Source organism: Homo sapiens, chromosome 17, assembly GCF_000001405.40.
Source record: "Homo sapiens chromosome 17, GRCh38.p14 Primary Assembly".
Taxonomy (NCBI): Eukaryota; Metazoa; Chordata; class Mammalia; order Primates; family Hominidae; genus Homo; species Homo sapiens.
The window spans coordinates 50,570,491-50,590,414 of record NC_000017.11 but is presented as its reverse complement, the minus strand read 5'-3'; the positions used below and the strand labels follow the sequence as shown (position 1 = coordinate 50,590,414).

General features: G+C 56.0%; 1 protein-coding gene across 35 annotated transcripts in view; it reads right to left on the bottom strand.

Annotated features, from left to right (window-relative positions):
- Positions 1–19,924, bottom strand: part of CACNA1G (calcium voltage-gated channel subunit alpha1 G) — a 66,760-nt gene that overhangs the window by 37,060 nt on the left and 9,776 nt on the right. For 34 of the 35 annotated variants that reach the window (NR_046055.2, NR_046054.2, NR_046056.2 and 31 more), the window contains exons 5-9: positions 18,378–18,537; positions 17,561–17,861; positions 17,302–17,394; positions 14,089–14,872; positions 11,851–12,227 (exon numbers count right to left, since the gene is read on the bottom strand). Coding sequence is in view for 30 of the 35 variants with exons in the window: in NM_001256325.2 (NP_001243254.1) it covers positions 11,851–12,227; positions 14,089–14,872; positions 17,302–17,394; positions 17,561–17,861; positions 18,378–18,537 (1,715 nt within the window). In the remaining 5 variants the exon portion in view is untranslated. The remainder of the gene's footprint in view (positions 1–11,850; positions 12,228–14,088; positions 14,873–17,301; positions 17,395–17,560; positions 17,862–18,377; positions 18,538–19,924) is intronic. The other variant, XM_006722161.5, reaches the window with a different exon arrangement.

Genomic DNA, 19,924 nt, shown 5'->3' with positions numbered 1-19,924 from the left:
GTCCTCCAAACATGGGACACCAGGGAGAGGAGGAGCAGGAATAGCAAGCTTGTGCGGAGGGGTTGCTGGATGCTCAGGCCCATGGGGAGGACCCTGCCCCAAAGGCTCCAGGAGGAAATGCACCCAGGGGCAGGGGCCCCAGGAAAGGGCCACGTGAAACCCATAGCCCCAGCTCTGGGTCTCAGATTCAGGGGCCACAAACTCAATGGGAGGCCTGTGGTGTGGGTTCCGCCCTATCTCCTGCTGGGAGCTGCATGGCCCATCTTGACCTAGGCTACAATGCAAGCCTAGCGGGCCCAGGCCAGCAGCATGACAATGCTGGCGGATGTCAGAGGGCGATCGCCAAGGCCTCACAGGCACACCCGGTCGTCAAGCCCCACACAACGTCACATGTATTCCACAATTACTCTGTGGACTTGGCAGCTTTCTCTTGGACAACAGTTGGCTACTCTTGCTTCCTTCCAGACACACACACACACACACACACACACACACACACACAGAGAGAGAGAGAGAGAGAAAAATGCACGCATTCCCAGTCACACACATGGTGATAGGCAGAAGGAAGACACGCAGACACCCAGGAAGGGTTGTCACAGTTGAGGAGACACCTGGAGCCTCAGCCTGAGCCCGGGACACCCGGGTTAATCCTCAGCCTATCCTGTCACTCACTCTGTGACCTTCAGCAAGATTCTCAACCTCTCTGGCCAAATGTGAAACACCAGAGGTAATTCCTTTCATGCTCCCTACCCGAGTCTGGGACTGGGACTGAGGATGCACCCTAGAGTCCTCAGAAGGACGAATGACGAACCCTGTCTCATCTGCCATTCCAGCTCACTAGTGACCTCGCTTTCAATATGAAGTGCCTAGCAATGCACCAGGCATTAAAGGAGCTGCAAAAACATGCCAGCCACACGCCCCGCCTCCCAGGAGCTCAGTGTCTGCTAGAAACACGTTGTACACACACAAAACGGCTGAATAACCACAAGAGGCCTTAAATGCTTCAGTGCCAAAATAAATTATCCAGGCAGCAAGTCCGGGAGTTCAGGGGAGAAAAGGTGAGGGGTGAACACACAGAGAAAGGCTTAGTTGGGAGAGAGGCAGCACTTGAATGCCTAAGGGTTTGTGGAGTCTCCCCAGCCAAGGGTCTAGGTGGTGTGGCACGGGGTGGGGGGATCATGAGCAACCTCAGCCTGGTTCTGGTTGAAGAAGGGAGGGGTGTGGCCAGGCAGAGGGCTGGGGAAGCAAGAAGAGATATGGTTGGCTCAATGGACCCCACTGTCCACCTGATGGATGTCTGGACAAACTAGGTGTCTGGCCTGGAGGGCAGAGGCCAAGTCCATAGTAGCTGCTCAAAAAGTATGGGTTAATGAAACATTCAAATGAGGCACTCATTCCATCAGACACCTCTCCTTGCTTCTCACTGTCTCGCTGGCCAGCTGCCCAACCAAGCCTGCAGCCAGGCCTGAGGACACCCAAATGTATCCTAATGGCCCTAGTTTGTGCAGCCAGCTTGGATGGGAGGTGAAAAGACTCGGAACAAGGGGCTTCTGACTAGCAGGTGAGCGGCATTTGGGAGCCTCGGGGACAACAGTTACTCAGAGAGAGATAAACTTTCAGACTGTTCAAAGGCAGGCCTGGGGGCAGAGTCAGGGCCAGCAGGCAGGCAGACAGCCAGCTATGCAGAGGGGGAGTGGCTGTCGTGGGGGCCAGTATGGCATGGAGCCCGTTGCTCCAGCAGATCTCAAGTAAGTCGTAGCTCCGTGGATTGTGAGTGGGGGCACTGCCACCTGACCTGGTTAGCCCGGTCACACAGGGCCATTAGTGTCTCCGGCGTGAGCACAGTACAGGAGGTGGGGCGGGGCCAGGATCAATGCATATAAAGCCCTGGGCTCAGACCCCACCTGGCTAAGTGGATCCCCCCACTCTGTACTTCCAAGTCCGGTCTGCCAGGGAGCGGGAGTCGGCAAACCCTCCTCCCTGTCACTCTGCCACTCGCCGTGTTTTCGGGCCTTGGATTAGATTAAAATGAACATGGACCGCACAGGTATGATGTTCAAAGTCACAGGGCAGGAAGAGCTGGGGTGGGGCCCAATCCCACATCCCTCTGACTCCAAGAATATTAGACAGTCAGGATTCAGAACCAAGCCACGGTGATGGTGAGGGGCTTGTGAATCCAGATACACGGTGGACTGGATACACAACGTGTCTTCTAAAATTATATTCAAATCAACAGAGTTCTAGGAATAAAGACCAACTCGATGTGAAGACACAGCTGAGGTACGCTTATAATGGGCAAATTTCATGGCATATAAACTATACCCCCAAAAAGCTGCTAAAAATAAAAATTAATGAAACGTTCTTTTAAAAGTTGCTGAAAACACAGTAGCTTTTGATGTCATGTATTTACTCAATCAGTGAATTCTAAAAGTCCGACTACTACTGTGCGTGGAGAAGGAGACTGTTCTCTTCACTCCCCGATGTTATCCACGGGGCTCTCAGGAGTCTGTACTGATGGCTTGTGGACACGTGCACACCTCACTCTCCTGCACACCACCGAGAGGCTTATGGAGAAGGATGATGCCAGGCTCCTGAGAAGCCTGCCGTCCCATAAGGCTTGCCTCATTGAACTTTGTCAAGGGCTGTGCCAGCAAAGGCTGGAACCCCTGTTTTGCCCAGCCAAGTGACTCCAGGCCTGGAAAAGCAGGGCAGCCTGATGCAGGTGGAAAGGGGCCTGGCGCACTCCCTCGGCCCTGCCTTGCTCTCTCTAGTCTCCCTGCAACACTTAGGGTAAATGCCACTTCTTCTCCAGGGCCCCGGTATTCCCTCCAGTGAGCCATGGAAAAAGAGCCCTCCTCCCCCAGATAGCCAGGTCTGTCCAAGTTACTAAATTGGAGGCTGGGAACGATCTGCGAATGCAGGACGAGGACATAGAGACACAATCTTAGCAACAAAGTTGCCCCAGGGACCAGAGCTGTAATTACGGCTGAAAAGGGGCAGGGGTGGAGCCAACATCTGGCAGTGCCCACCACAGGCCAACTAGGCTGAAGACCTCCTCGTGGGATTTCATTTCCTCCCTGCTCACAACAAACGAGGGAGGGCTGTGAGCCTCCTAGATAGTCTGGGAAACTGAGGCTCCGAGGGGTGTGGTGCCTTGATGGAGGTCACATCACCCTCCTGGAGAGGTGCAGAGCCAGGTCCGTTGTGCCTCCCTCTACATCTCTGCCCTCAAGACCTTTTCCACAACATCGCCCCCACCATATACCCAGACAGAGCTCACACAGAGAGCACACAAACTCATCAGGCTGGAGCCAGCCACCCCTCACTGGCCACCCCCAGCTGTGGAAGTCCCTTCCCAGGTCTAGCCTGCATCCTTCCTGCTGTTCACAGATGTCAAGGCCCAGTGGAGGTTTCGGTGAAATGAGGCCAGGCAGCCTGAGCTTATCCCACCCAGAGGTCCCAGGTCTCTTGTCTGTGCTGATGTTGACTGTAAATCTCCATCTCCCATTTCCTAACACCTCCACTCCCCTCCCCTCCGGCTGTCACCTTGCAGCAGCGTTAAGCTGCTCAGTACTTCCCAGCACCGGGGCTCCCCAAGCCTCATAGCTGCTCCATCAACTAGCCCTAAAAGTGCCTTCTGTGTGCCAAACACTGGTGTTAGAAAGGTGCCACCAACTCTGAGACTTTCTTCCTATGTGACCTTGGGCAATTCCCTTTGCCTCTCAGATCCCCAGTGGCCTCTTCTGTTAAACAGGGTAACACTACCTCCTGGGAGGCTGCTCTACAGAACAAAGGAGTGAAAGGCTGTGAGAAACCCCAGCCCCAGGGCCAAGCTCACAGAAGGCAGGACCGATATCTGCAAGGCTGCAACTAAACACCACACTGGGGGCAAAACCCAGGAGCCACGGGAGCTCAATCCCGGCTGAGGTCAGTGGGCCAGTGGGGAGGACAGCCTGGGAGGATGTCCATGGAGGGTGTCCCCAGCTGGGGACAGCAAGGGAAGGGGTGTGCAGGGCACAGTGCAGAACCAAGAATCAAGTTGTCTGCCCAGATCAGAGGGTGAGAGGGGCTGGTGGGAGAGAAGGCTACAAGGTCGGCAGGGCCAGGTGGAACAGCCTTCCTCTGCTCCCTCTGGACAAGTCTCTGCCTACCACGCTGCCACTGAGGCCCTGGGGGCGGGTGGGAAGGGAGGAAGGAGATGTACAAAGCAGTGTATGAAGAAGATTAATCTGGCTGCAGTGGTGGCAGCGTGTGGACGGCTTGGAGGGTAGAGACAGAAACCAATTAGGATACTGCAGCAGTCCAGGCAGGAGGCCTGAGAGCCAGCTCTGGCAGACAGTGATGTGCCTCTTGCAGAGAGGGCATGAGGGGCTGGACAGGCCTCGTCAGAGCTGAGCAGAGGCTTGGACCAGTCACTCGTGCTCTGCCCAAGCCCGACCCCAGCCAGCTGCCATCGCCCCAGCTTCCACCTGCTCCACTGACCCTGAAATCTCTGCTCTTCTGTTCAGACTCCTCAGCTCACCTCACCTCTGCTTCTGATGGGCCTGCCTGCTGCTCCCACCCACCCAGGACAGGGGCACAGACAGGCTGCAGTGAGGCAGTGAGGGTCACTGGGTCAGTGGGAGGCAAGTCTTCAAGGAGGTGTGGGAAGTCAGGGAACACCTCGGTGGCAGGAGGTTTCCTGGAAATCTCACAGGCCTCATCATGTAGATCATGGTCCTGGTCTTCCCCAGCCCCCGGAAGCTCTCCAGTTTGGATCCCCCCTCCTGTGCCCTCCTGCCCACTGGGCACACTGCTAGGTGTCATGGTGCCCCCAGGGCCTCCTAATCAGAGGCAGTGCCAAGGAGAGGCTTTAGCCACAGTCACTGCCTCTCTGCCCTCAGGGCAACATTCCTCAGAGTTCATTCTACGCTTATTCCCCCCACCAGCACCCCCACTCCCACCTCTCCACTGTCATTGGGGTGTAGGTGACATGATATTTCCCAGCTCCCCGAAGCCCTCAAAAGTAAACACACAAGCTAACTAGGCACAGCACACTCACGGTGCCCACTCAGCTTCAAGACAGCTGACCCAAGGCCCCTGCTACTTAAAATTCTGGAGCTATAGCCAGGCATGGTGGCAGGTGCCCGTAGTCCCAGCTACTGGGGAGGCTGGGGTGGGAGGATCGCTTGAGCCCAGAAGTTCCAGGCTGTAGTGAGCCATGATCAAGCCACTGTATTCCAGCCCAGGGGGCAGATCAGGATTCCATCTCTTAAAATAAATAAATAATAAAATGCTGGAGCTGCAGCCCCTGTGCCTTGTCCACCTGCACAGCGTCTAGCCCATGGTGGGCCACAGTAGGCCACATAAAGGCTGCCCTTCTGACGAAGACTTTCAAGAGCTCCTGCCCTGCCCAGCCCCAGCCCAGGTAAGTGCCCTTGCCCTCCTCCTCTCCTCTGCGGCTCTGGAAGTGCTGAGTATCGCTAGAGAGAGGCACGAACATGTGCTGACTGGACAAGTGATTCCCTGTGGGTGGTGGCCCCATGGCTGTTTCATGCCTTTATTCACAGTCCCTGGTTCCTCCCTTCTTAGGTCTCCTCTCTCCCCCAGGAGCTGCCTCAATCCTTCTGGACTCTGCAGCCCCCAGCCCTACTCCCCACCTGGCCCCTCGTTGCAGGCTTACATGGGGGGCTCCACGTCCCTCCTCCAAAGAGCTCTGTGTTGTGCATCCCACTGTCTCTCTTCCTCTCCTGGAAGGGAGCCAGCCGTTCCTCCACCTGCACTTTGATTCTTTGATGTGCTCCCCCGCCGCCCCCCTGTCACCCCCTACCCCCGCCCCCGGCTCCCCTGGGCCCTGGCCTATCAGTTATGCCTGCATCCATTACTTCTCCAATCTCCTTCCCCCGTGCCTAAAAGCAGAAAGCTTCTGTGGGACTCCAGACTCATTCAGTTCTGAACTCTGGGCCCCACAGCTCCAGCTCTGTCCAGGGACCCTCTTCCCAGCCCTCCTCTTAGTGGATGCCTCAGCAGCAGCTGAGCCTCCCTTGGCTTCCCCGACCCTGAGCAACCACCTCTTCCCCTTCCCAGTGCTCATTTCACCGCCTCTCTTCCCTCAGGCCAGCATTCCTCAGAGTTCAGTCTAAGCCCGCTCCCTCCACCAGTACCCCCACTCCTACCTCTCTGGCTGTCACTGGGGTGTAGACGACACTAAACAATCTCTCCAAGCCCCTGGCTTCTCATCCAGAGATCCAGAGCCTGCCTGATCTCCCTCCTGGGATGGCCCACAGCCATCTCAAACTCAGTGCATCCAAAACAAACCCTCTCGCCTCCTCTCCCAAACCTGCTCCTTCCCGGGTGGCGCCATCATGCTCGGGATTCTGCCTTAGAAACTTCGGGTTATCTAGGATTCTTGCCCACCCTTCCTCCCTCTGGACACTAAGGTGCCCCGGCCCAGAGAACCTGCCAGTGAAATTGCGTCCTACCCACAACCCCTCGTTCCCATAGCTATGGCCTTACTTGGGGCCCTCTTTGCCTCTGATCTGAACAACAGAAATAGCCTCTAGGCCCTCCTCCACCCAGCCTGCACCAATGGGAAGCACCGGCTTCCTCGCTGGGCTAACATCAATCACTGCTCAGACACCTCGGGGCCAGGGCAGGGAGGAAAACCTGACTGTCCTTCAGAGCATCGAGTGCCACCCTGTGCATGTGCCTTAATCCCTCCACCTAGATCTCTCTGCTCCTACCCACCCCTCCATCTCCCACCTCCCCCCACCCCCACCACCCAAGCCACTGTCAATTCCATTCATCTTTCGAGGCTCCGTTCAAAAGCCACCACCTTCGTGAAGCCCTTCCGAAGGAGAGCTGGGGATGAGCAGCTCTCCTTTGTCCCCTGAAGCCTCTCTTGCGGCATTTGGCATAATCATCCATGAAACAGAATGACTTTTCCACCAGAACCTACATTTCTTGGGTGTTTCTGGCTCAGCCCCCAACCCCCTGATATTCTAATATTCTATTCTAGTGTGCTGTGCACAGGATATGCTCCCCTTGTTTGCAGAACTGGGAGAGCCTGGAGCCAGGGGATGCCTAAAAGAACAAGAGAACACCTTAGCAGACATCTCCAAAACAATGCCCCTCTCCCTCCCACACCAGATAGCCTTTGAATGTCTGGGGCCAGTCAGCTGCAAAGGATCATCCCCCAAAGCTCTGCTTGGTCCTCAGCCCTAGCTCTTCAGCCAGGGCTCCTCTATCTGGAGACCAAGGGACTGGCTGGGGTGGGAGGTGTCCATCAACCTTTGCCCTCAAAGGCCACATTTAGGGTGTCCAGGCATATGGGGATTTTCTGGGGAGAGGGTCCCCAGCCTTCAGCAGAACTGAAAAGGAGTCTATGACCTCCTTCAAAGTTCAGACTTACCATATCTGGACCACCTCCTCCTGCCCCACCCCCAGCTTCTCTCGCCTTGAACAGCCAAACTCACTCACTTATAAATAGAAACCCTCTCTGGACATGTATCTGGAGTGACAGGATGGCCCCAGAGTGTGAGCAATGAGCAGAGTCATCACCTGCCCTGTCCTCTCTCAGCCTGCAAGGCCATCTACCCTGGTCCCTCCCCTTCCTCTCCCCGTCTACAGCCCAGGAGACCACTGGGCTACATGTAGCTCCCCTCTCCCCATATGCTGTTGTCCCTCTTCTAGAACATTAGACTAGCACCTGTCCCCCACCCCACCATGACCCAGAGCCAGGAAGGAGATGTTAGGAAGCTCCTGTGTCTCCAAGGCCCCACTCCTGCACTCCCCTCTTCCTGGAGAGGTCTGGCCCCAGTGCAGAGCCAGGCAGGACACAGAAGAGAAGGCAACTTCTTTTCTGAGCTCCGACAGCCTGCTGGATATGGTCAGGATGGCCCGCAGGCACCTTGTATGCAACATGTCTCCCAGCCCACATCTGCTCAAGCCACATTGCTCCCACCCCAGGTAGAAACCTGGGAGTCATCCTTGCTGCCTCCTCTCAACCCATGTTTCCAACTGATTGGGTCCTGCAGATCCAGCTACCAGCCAGCTCTCCCCAGCCCTCTGCTCTCCATTTCCAGGGATGAAGATGTAGTATGAACTGCCTGGACCACTGCCGGAGCCCTCATACTGTGCCCTGCCCTTCACCTTCACTGGCTATGTCCTACTCTTCCTTCAGACTCAGCCCAGAGGTCACCTCCTACACGGAGCCCTCCCTGAATTCCTTCTCTGGTCTGGGTTAAGGGCTCCTCCTCCACGTATCCCTCTCTGAGCATGTGCCACATCAAGTAAATATGACCGTTTACTTGTTGTGACCTCTTTAAAAAGAAGGACAGTGCCTTGGGCCCAGTGGCGTGCTGGAGCTGTTTCTCACTGGCTTGGGAGAACCAATTGTCCACGTCTCTTCCCAACCCCACATTCGGTGGAATCGTGTTGGTAGCTTAAAACCAGCTATGGTGGGAGCATTTACACCATGGAAATTGGCAAATGCTACAGATCAGGACTTTATTATTTTAGAAGGGCTAGTTGTTAATCATTTACCAGCAAATCACTGCTTAGGCCCAACTCCAGTGCAAAAGGATGAATTGGAAAAAGGTTCTGGACTCCATGTACCGCCCTGAGCGGATGGGGCACACATGTAGGCTGGCCCCATATCAGATCACACTTCGACATCAGGTCATTTTCTTGCTCTCTCCTCAGTCTCCTGGGTTCTTGTCCTTCTCACCAGCCCTCTGGGCAAACCCAATCCTGCCAGTTCTCCTCCAGCTGGTGGTTAAGGGGTGGAGGAAGCAGGAGACAGAGGACAGCATGGGGCCAGCCCCGGGCGGGGTGGGGTATCACATATAGGTGCTTCCTCAGTCAGGAGGATGGTGGGGTAGCGCAGGTTGGGGGGACGGGACAAGCGAATGATGAGTCAGCCAGGGGATGGTGGGAGAGGACAGGGCCTGGGGAGGGCAGCGGTGACGGCCAGGAGGGAGGGCAGGGACTCCTCCTCTGGCAAAGCACCAGCAACACCCTTTCCAGTGCCCGCCCCCCCATCCAATCGATTCCGGGATCAATGGACACAATTGCCTCATTAAGGGCACCGCAGGGAAGCCGTGAGCCTCCTCATGCAGCCAGCTCCAGGGGAGTCTCTGTCTCCCCATCCCACCCCGTCTCTGCCCTCATTTGCATCTGGGACTCGGTCTCTGTCTTCAGCTCCCTCTCTGTGTCTCTGTCTCCCTGTGTGTCTCTGTGGCTCCATTTGTCTCTGTCTGTCTCCGCTGTGGCTCATCTCTCCCTCCATATCCTTTCTCCCCTGCCTGCGCGTCTCTCTTCCTGCCCTCCTCCCCCGTCTCCATCTTGCCCTCCGTGCCTCTGTCTCGCCCCCATCAGTCTCCTCTCTGTCTCCCTCTGTGTCCCCATTCCCCCATGTGTCTCTGTCTCCCTCTCTGTGCCCACTCTGTGTCTCTGTCTCAGCCCCCCACATCTCCTTGCTGCCTTCCCTGGCAACCCCCCACTCCCAGCCTGCTCAGGCTCCAGGGCCCAGATGGCGGGACGTTCACGCCGCAGTGCCTGCAAGCACAGGGCCATGGCAGCTTCTGGGACTTCTTACTCTCCGCACCCCTGAGCCCGCTGGACAGCTGTCAGTCATCTGCCCAGCCTGCTGGGGACTCCCGCTCACCCCCATGGGGCCCTCAGCACCAGGTATGCGGACAAAACCCTCCCTGGAGCAGACACTGCTGTCACTGAGTGAGGCCTCCCTGCTGCTGAGGACTTAGTGGGAGCCCTGGGCTGTCTCCGCCCTTCCTCAGGAGCCTGAGCAAGAAGAAGGTGCAGGCACCCCTGACTGACGGCTGCTGCCTTCTCTCCAAAGGGGCGTCCTTCTTGACATCTAACTGAAAGCCCTCTTACCAAGGCTTCATCTGCCCTGGGTCTGTGTGACTCAGCTTCTTCCCAGTGCAATCAAAACCTCCACCAGCAGCATCGGCTGGGCAGGGACTGCTGGGTGCTCCCCCCGGGGTAGGGAGGGGGCACTGGGGAGGTGCCCCCTGGGGGAGGGGCACCTGACCATGGCCGGAACAGGGGTGAGGGAAAGGAGGCTGAGGTTCAGGGAGCCTGAGTAATGGGAGGTTAGGGGCTGTCACCACCTGGGTCCCGGAAGCAGAAAATGCTGCCCACCCCCCACTGCCACCAATCTGGCAGAGTGGAGCACCTCTCCCTGGGAGGCTGGCAGAGTTGGCATGTGCACACACACCCACACCCACGTAGCCCAGACACAACATGCCCACCGTGGTGTCAAGTGCGCCCACCCGCTGGCACTGCAGCCAGGGTCCCACTCTCTCTCCACCTCATGGCTGCTTGGAGGGGGCCCTGTGGAGGTTAGAGGAAGGGACGCCAATGTGTGATGGTGATGGGGAGGGGTGCACCTGGCCAGGTCGAGCAGTCTTGGGTAAAAGCTGGGTGCTCGAAATATTGCAGGTGCAGAGGTCAGTGGTGTGGGGGCGGGCTTCGAATCCCCCGGAAAAGTGAACACCTCACTGTCTGCTCCAGACCCGGCTTGACCTGTGCCCCTCAGCCTCAACCCAGACCTCCCAGCATGCCTGTACCACCCTGCCTGTACCACCTTTTTGAGATGCCCCTTTCACAGGGTGCTGTGCTGGTGTAAGAGCCACTCCACACCACTGGCCCCCTCCGCCTCTGCTCCTGATTGGGAGGGTGCGGAGGTGGGGAGGTGCATGGCCTTCGTTCCAAACCAGGGAAGGTTGGGTTCTGATGGCCCAGTGCCTCCGTGCTACCCCAGGGAGGCCAGAACACCCAGGAGAACAGAGCCTGGGAGGACCGTGAACTGCAGCACCTGCTTGCTAGCCTCTCTCCTTTTCCAAGAATCAGCCACAGGGGTGACCTGAAAGGCCAGACTGGGGGGAGGGGGAGCGACTTCTGGAAAGAACCCTGTGGAAGAGGGAGCCAAACCCAGTTGTGAGGACCCATGGTGCCTGCTTGGACCCCCAACAAGCGGGCATCTTCAGCTCATGATGGGGGATCAGTGGGGTCCCCCAGGCTACCCTTTCTATCTCTGCATAGCTCTGAGGGTTAGAAAAGCCTCCTCCCCCTCAGCCCAGATCCTATTGCTTGTAGCCATCAGCCCCACAAAACAAGCCTGCTTCCTCTTCCACATGACAGCCCTTCAAATATTTGAAGACAGCTTGCCTGTCCCTGCTGAGCCCTTGCTCCTCCTAACTAAACATCCCGGTTCTTAGAATCATTCCTCAAACGCGATGGCTTCAAGTCCCCTTGCCATGCTGGGCACTCTCATCCACCCTGAGCTGCCCTGGTTCACAGCACGGCTCCCAGACGGGAGGCCAGGAAAGATTGCCTCCCTCCCTGACCCCAACAGGCCTTCATTCCACCCAGGCGCAGGCACCAACCCTCCCCTCTGCACCCCTGTTTACATGGCCCCTCCTGCCTCCAATCAGTCACACCCGGACTTAGTGGGTCAGATGGATGCCACAGGACCTCCAACACCCGCCCTCCGCACTACACCTTCTCCAAAGACCCAAACATCTCCCAGTGACGCGCCTCTCCCCACATGCTGATGCTCACCACTTGTTCACATCCTTCAAAGCCAGCCTCCTCTGAGCAGCCTTCCTGGGTAGAACATACCCTGTGGCCTACCTGAGGCGACCTCCATACTCAGAGACTTTAAGCACTCCCTCTAGAGAATCCCCATGCATTGCTCCATCACCCACCTCCCCTCCTACCTGCCAGGTGGGCTAGCAGCATGGAGAGGAAGCTGAGCTCAGGAGGAGGGGTGCGGAGGGAGGTAGAAGGCCCCAGCCCCAGGCGAAAAGCAGCTGGCAGGAGCCCTGCCTCTGCCCACTCTCCTACCTGCTCGTGGTATTCGATGCCCATGCTGAGTGTGTTGACCAGGATGGCGATCATGATTCCCCGGCCAAAGTACTTGCTGTCCACAATCTTTCGGAAGGTGTCACAGATTAGCCTCCAGAAGGCCAGCACAGAGCTGGGCTCTGCATCTGGGCCCAGGCTCCGTTGCCGCCGGCTGTGGGGGTCCCGGAGGTCGCTGTGCTGGGCATCCTGTGTGAACTCATAAACTGCCTCGCTGTCTGAGTCAGGCATTTCACGGTCGGCGAGCTCCACCTCCCCTGCCCCGGCCCGGGCACAGTAGGGGCAGCTGTCTGGACCACAGGCTCCACTGTCTGCTTTCAAGCAAGGGCTGGAGATCTTGCAAGAGCTTTGGCAGGCACCTGGAACAGGAGAGTAGAGGTGAGAGGCTCCAGAGTCTCGTACCTGGGGCTACCCTGCCCTGTGAGTATGTGTAAAATGAGTCAGGGAGTCTGGGGTTGTTACAGTGATGGGGTGCTAGGCACTTAGTGGGCCAGGGGTGCTGAATGTCAGGCAAGGTGGGCAGTCTTGACCCACAAGATGCCCTAATGTCAATAGCACTTCATTGACAGTCACTGCTGAGTGTCCTGGGGCTCAGAGAGGTGGCCTGGATGTCCTCTGAGGTCCTGGACAGCTCCTATATCCTAGGTGCCTTCAGCAAGGAGCCTCGCTCCCCTTCCCCTTCCCAGAAGCCAGGACTACATCAACACTGTTCTGAGCAGCACTTTCCATGGGATCCTTAAGACACGCCCACACACGTGCACTTGCACACACACCCACACCAGACACGTGCACCTGCACACGTGCTCCAGATGCGCACACTCGTGTACACATGTATACTATTTGGACACCACCATATGGGCACACATACATGCACATACCAACACATGTGTGCACAAACACATTCACACACGGCACATATGCCAGACATATGCACACATGCACACACACCAAGGAAAGAGCTTCACATCGCACATGCACCTACACACATCAAGCACATGTGCACACATATGCATATGAACACCAGACACGTGCATGCACACACGCACACACACACACTGGACCCCTTCATGGACATAGACGCATACACGCATACTAGATGCACTCGTGCGCACACACTCAGGGACCTAGCCCAAGACATCAATGTCCCTTTAAATCCAGCTTTGATCACAGAATATGAGAACCTCAGAGAGTACCAGGTAAAGCATGGATGTGGAAGCCCCCCGCTCAGGGCCTGGCCCCAGGTGGGCTCTCAGCGACATTTCTCCCTTGACTGCATCTGCACACAGGAGGGAGTCAGTAAGCACCCACTGAGAGTAATTATGGGCCCAGCCTTGCCTTTTACACAGGAGGAAATAAAAACGTGGGTGCATGTGACTGGCCCACGTCCCGTGGCAGGGTAGTGGAGGAGCTGGCATAGAAACCTTTCGCTCTGGGTTCTGTGATAGCACCTTCTGGTCCCAGCCCACATTCCCACGTAACATCCCCACGAATATCCCGCTGCTCCCCACGTGCCACATCCTTCCTGAAACACAGGCCGTGGGCTGCAGCTACAGTGAACCTGTCTGCTGGGGAGAGCCCGACGTCCCTATGTGTCTCACTGCCCCCACGACACTGGGAGTGTCACCCATCAGACAAGCAGCTCCCTGAACTGGGTCTCCCTGTGCGGAGGCAATGAGACTCAGGTTTAGCCAGTGGGGCATGAAGCTGGGCACAGTCACACACCATTTCCTCTCTGAGCCTCACAACAAGGAGTCCCGAGTGCGGGCCCCGAGTCCGCCCCTCACCAATAGCAAAGCCTTGGGCAAGTCATGCAATCCCCTCAAGCCTCCTGGTTCTCATCCACACAATGGGGATGCTAAGAAAGCCTATCACTTAATGGGTAGAGAGGATCCAATGGAATTTTGCCCGCAAAGCATGTGACAGGCACACAGCCATTGCTGTGTGCAACAGTTGCTAGACATCATTGCAAACAGCACGAAGCAGGTGCTTATTACATGATAGTTACTGCTATTACAATGTAGGAATTATGAGTTCCACTTTAGCAGATGAGAAAATTCGAGCTCATAGCAGGGATGTGACTGGTTGAAGGTGCCTAAGCCATGAGAGGCAGCATGAGAATATAAGCCCTGGTCCCTCTGACTCCAGACCCCCTAGTCCCCTCTGGGACGCCACCCAGTCCCCAGACGAGGGCACCCACATGCCTCCACCCAGAGTTCTCACCTGTACTCTGTGTCTCCAGCAGCTTGTGCATGGAGCTGTAGGGCCCGGGTGGGATGTTGAGGCTGGTGAGGGTTGGGGGCCCAGAGCTGGCAGCCACCTCTACTAGTGCCTTCTCCTTCAGCGTCTCCGGTGGAGGGCTGGTGTGCACGGTGGGATACACCTTCCCGCTGCCCACAGTCCTGCCGGATGCCTCAGATGGGGACCTGGGAGGGGGCGCCTGGCAGCGGACTGGCTCTAAGTGGCAGTCGGCATGGTAGAAGCTGTGCACAGACTCTGCGCCACCAGGGGGGGCCCCGGAGAGGGCAGGCGTCGAGGGTGGTGGCAGCATGAGCCGGCGGGACCCATTGGCATCCCTGTCCTGGATCTCCGGGCTGGCCCGGGGGGCCCTGAGCGTCCCATTGCCCAGGTGGTAGTGGTGGTGATGGTGGTGGTGGTGGTGCACCAGGTGGTGGACGGATAGGCGGCGGTGGGAGCGAGAGCAGCTGCTGCTGGGCTGGGTCTCCTGGCCCCCGAGGGGTGCTGGGCTGCTGAGCAGCCCAACCCGCACACCTGCTGCCCGAGAGACCTGAGCCAGCCTGCGGGCTGCCTTACGAAGGATGTACACCAGGTACTTGAGCAGCTCCTCATAGCAGCTGCCGGGCTCAGAGAAGCTAGCCAGGGTGCTGGCGTTGGACAGGAACCGCACACGCTGCTCCCGCATCAGCTGGCTTTCCCGCTGCTTGGTCTCTGAGAACTGCGTGGCAATCACCACCAGGCACAGGTTGATCATGAAGAAGGAGCCCACCTGTAGGGGTGGGGACAGGAAGAGGAAATGTCCTGAAGAAAAGTGAATCACAATGCCAGCCACCACATACGGAGGCATTCCTATGAGCCAAGCGCCACGCTCAGTTATTTTCCAAGCATTATCTCATTTTATTTTTAAGACAGCCTCAGGAGGTGATGCTATTGTAATCTCCATCAGACAGGTAAGGAAACTCAGGTCCACAGAGGTCAAACATTTGCCCAAGATCACTCAGCTAATTCAGAGCAAGGCTAAGACTGGAACCAAGCTCTATGAAATTCCAAGATATTGCTATTGAACATGGTGTTATCCTGCAATCTCTCAAATTCCCTGTCCCTAAACACGCACACCTGCAGAGACGCAGCACCCCTTCCGCAATTTCCATTAGGAGTAGCGAATGCTGTGGAAATGAACGCAATATTAGGGACATGGGGTTTTCAAATTATATTGAGCCTTGAGATCTTGACAAAAACATCATTTACAAGACTCCTGCTTCTAGCCCCAATTCTAGCTGTGTGACTTTGGGCGAGAGACCCTTAGCCATGGGACCTCATATCCTCATCTGAAAACAGGGACCATTGGCCTTGTCTGTCCCCATTTTCCCTGTGCCCCCCTCCCTCAGATGTGGGAGGGGCTGAACCCTTGACCCTACAGACTAGTCAGGCTGCCACCTGACTTGCTCACACTACCCCAGTCCCCATCTCCACGCCTCAGTTTCCCCAGAACTCTGGAACAGCCATTGCTTGGACAACAATCCCAAATGAAGGAAATGAATATTTATGGTGACAAAGCAGATTTTTTTTTTCTAGATCGTGTCCTAGTAATTATGATAATTAGCTTCACTAGTGTGATTCCAGAGAGCTGTTAGGAAAGATTTTTCAGGGGGTGTGTGGGAGGGTGGAAACTAGGCCCCTTATCTCCCTGTCTGCTTCCTTCCCCCTCTCCCAAGCCCAGGAGGGAAAGGGAGTGGGGGTGGGGGGGGCACATGGTGAGAAGACCCCACTTCCCTGAAGCACTGGCCTCACCCCTTGAGGTGGTGGCCAGGGATGGGAACAGGCCTCCAGTCAGGCTTCGCCCCAAGCCTGCCCACTCTTCTGCACCAGGGGAAGTTACGCAGGCAGAATGAGGTGGCCTTGGGGACTTGCTCTTTCTCAGGGCCTACCCTCTGTCTCTCACAAGGAGCTGCCTTATTTTGTCTTCATCTCTCTCTGGAGCTAGTCCTAGGTCCTGAGTAGATCTTAATCTTTCTTAATCTCTTTCTCTCAATGTCTGTCCCTCTGTCTGGCTCTGTCGTTGGCCTCTTGGTGACATGGAAGAAAGGCTGAATGTGGAGTCGTTAGCCTGGGACTGAATTCTCAGCCCCAGCCGCTTACTTTCTGTGTGATCTTGGCCCAGTGACCCACCCTCTGGGGCGCTGAATTCTCATTTAAGAGATGGGGACCACAATCCCTGCCCTGGCACCTCACAGGGGACGACGAGGATTAAACAGGCAGCAGATGTTACAGCATACGTCAGCAGTGATGCCCCACTCTTGGAGATTAATACACAGCATAGGCAAAGCGTCTGGTAGGGTCAGATAAATGAGGAAATGTCAGTTTCCTCATCTGTAAAATGGAGAGGATCACGGTGAGGATTAAATGCACCAGCACATTGAAAGTGCTTAGATCAGGGGCTGGCGCATAGTAAGTGCTCAATAAATATTAGCTCAAAGTGGTGGCGATGAAGTTATTAACTATGAATGGTAGTGATTAAAACTATTAAATATTGCTGCTTTTGCCTCCGTCTTCTGCCTTCTTAAAGTCTGGCAATTTCTGAACTGGCAGGAATAAGAGATCAGGCAGCATTTAACACCAATTGATCACTGATCAGAATTTTGGGTAGAATAATTCTTTATTTGCAAGCATTTCAGGATGTTTAGCTTCTCTCCCCTCCCCCAGTAACAAATTGCCAATTGCACTCCCCTTGTCCTTACAAAAAAACAGAACTCTGTAAACATGCTTAAAAAACCACTGGATTCATTCAAAGGGATGAATTGAATGATATGTGAGTTATGTCTCAATAAAGCTATTAAAAAAAATCAAAACCAGAATCACCCTTTCCCATTTCCAAATGCCCTCTGGGAGAGGTGGTATCATCTCAGGTTGAGAACCATTCATTTTACCCATGAAGAAACAGAGGCCCAGAGCAGTGCTGGAGGCCTCATGGAGAATGACTTGCCCAAGGTCCCAATAGCAGTTAAGTCCCGCCTTGACCTTGGATTTCCTCCTGACTCTGCATCTGGTGTCCCTCCTACTATATGATGGATGCCCTCTCTACAGGACTTGTCCTGAGAGCTAAAAACTTCAGACAGAGCAAACTATCCCCTCTCTGGACTGCCCCCACAGGTGTCCCCAGGATCGCCCATCCCCACGGGGATCTGAGGAGTCACTCACGATGATGAGGAGGATGAAGTAGATGAAATTGTAGAAGGAATGAGCATCCATCACAAAGTACATGATGTCGACCCAGCCCTCCAGCGTGATGACCTAGGGGGTGCAGAGGGGCAGGCTGACTATGGGCCCACCAAATCCTCCTTCAGTCTCCTCCAGAGGCCTTGACCCCCACCCCAACCCTGAGAGCGACCACTCCGATCCTGGGCTGTGTCCTGGGGCTGGTGTTCTGGGGAAGCTCCCGGGGCCCAGGCTGCCCCACCTGGAAGATGGCGATCCAGGCATAGCCAATGTTGTCAAAGTTGATGGCGCCCTTGAAGGGGTTGTGCTCCCCCGCTGAGCAGTTGGTGTAGTACTGGTTCCAGTTGACACAGGTGGTGTTGCTGGAGCTGTTGTAGGCCTCATAGTCCAGACCGCAAGGTGGGCCACCGCCCCCGTCCCCGCGCAGCGTGGGCACGCTTCTGCAGGACCGCATGCCGTTCTCGCGTGGCTGGGAGCAGATGAAGGGGCTCTCATCCTCGTTCTCTGTCTGGTAATAGCGCTCCAGGTCCACGCTCAGGGGGCTGCAGGATGGGAAGGGGAACAGGGGTGAGACTGGGGAGTGGGCTCTCCAGGGAGAGGGCCCAGGAAGGGAGAGATGGCACGAGTGCTCGAGGCATATAGGGTGAGCAGGGCAGAACCAAGAATGGGGAAGGGACTGGGCAGGGCAGGGATTTGTGGGCACCAGGAGCATGAGGCCTGAGTGGGGAAACTCCAGACTCAGGATGTTGGAAGGTCACATCCTGGAATAGTGATTTTCAAATTTCACTGCAAGTTAGGATCACTGGAGGGGTTGAAAAAATCCTTACATCCAAGCTGAGCCCCAGAGCAATGAAATCAGAATCTCTGGAGGTGGCACCCAGGCATCAGTACTTTTTAAAACTCCCCAGGTGGTTCCAATGGGTAGCCAAGTTTGAGAACCAGATATGTCTCAGATGTTAGAACAGATATGTCAGTAGCAACCGGAAGTGAGGAACTTGGGGGGGTGCCCAGCCCCATAACCACTCCCAGGTCCTCCCTGGACCCTGTCCACCACTCACAGGCTGAAATTCTCAGGTAGGAAGCATCGGTTCCGAAGCAGCCCTGCCCACAGCTGGACGCCGACGATGCCGAAGATGAAGAAGACGAAGAAGCAGAGCAGCAGGACGTTGCCCAGCATGGGCAGCGTATCCAGCAGCAACGTGACAAGGATGCGCATGCCTGTGGGGGCAGAAGCCACGCTGGGGACACCAGGCTGGCCGGGCTAGGCTGACTGCCACGGCCCGGCAGCACTCCCGGAGGGGCCCCACCAGGGACTCTGAGGCTGAGACGGCCCGGCTCAAGCTGGAGGGGAGACCAACAGACACCTCTGACTCCCCAGATAGCCTCTGCAGCCCCTTGCCCCGACCCACTTCCCCTTGTGGCTTGCCCACGGTAATCTGCACAGTACCACCAACAGTGAGCTGGGGAAACTGTGGCCCCTCCTAACTCTCCCAACATCATCACATGTGGATAATATCACTCCCAATTCACAGATGAGAAGTCTGAGGCTTGGAGAAATGACTTGACTCACCCAGTATCACACAGCTGCTAAGTGTAGGTGCCGGAACTCGAACCCAGGCTTTGGCTTCCGAATCCCTCTCCAACACACACCCACACCCGCACACATTCACACGCACACTCCCTACCTACTTCCTTCTCTCAACAGGCACAGTCACTTGACCTTTCTAAGTTATCACCACCAGAGTCATTAGGGAAACTGAGGCAGCGAACTCCAGGAGGAATGACAGCAGGCAGGAATCTCATTTTGAGAGCCAGCTCCTAGGCAGGGGCCAAGATGCCCTGTGCTTCACTATGGCTCTGAGCCCTGCTTCCCTGAAACTATTCCCTGCTTGGTCCAGATCCCCAAATCAGGACCTGAAGAGATACAATACTGTCTTCTCAGAAGTCCATCAATTTACAACCCCCTCCATAGGGAAAGCCACTGAAACCCCCTCCTCAAAAGCCCTGTTAGGGTTACTTCCCTCTCTCCGTACTCCAGGTCTAGAACCCAACCGGCCCAAATGGTCTGAACCAGCCCCCAGTCCGCCAAGCCCTCGTCAAGCAGACAGATCTCTAATGGCTGGCTTCACCCCCAAAGTGCCATCTATGGCCCCCTGGCCCCTCCAGGGCAAAAGCTGCTAAGCAGCAGCTAATTAACCCTCTTGGTGACTGCAGCGCCCAGCCTCGCCCCTGCCAGCCCAGTTTTCTCACTCAGTCTCCCTCCCCCTCCTCCTACCCCATCCCCCTTCAGCTTCTCTGTGCTCCAACTGAGATCAATTCCTCAGGGTTTGCATTAAGGGAATTACACCGGTGGTTAGACAGAGGCCTATAAATCTGCCAGCCATCACCTGGGGCGGGAGAGGAGGCGAGGCATGCCCCTCTTCTGGAGCTCCTGTTAACACCAACACACCCCGAGCCCCAGAGGACACATTCAACAGCTCTGCCCTCCCAGGGGCAGCAGCAACATCACACACACACACACACACACACACACACACAGAGCGCAGGGGGCTGCTGCTACATCAGGTACACAAACAGGCACTGAGCCCCAGAAACATGCATTCCT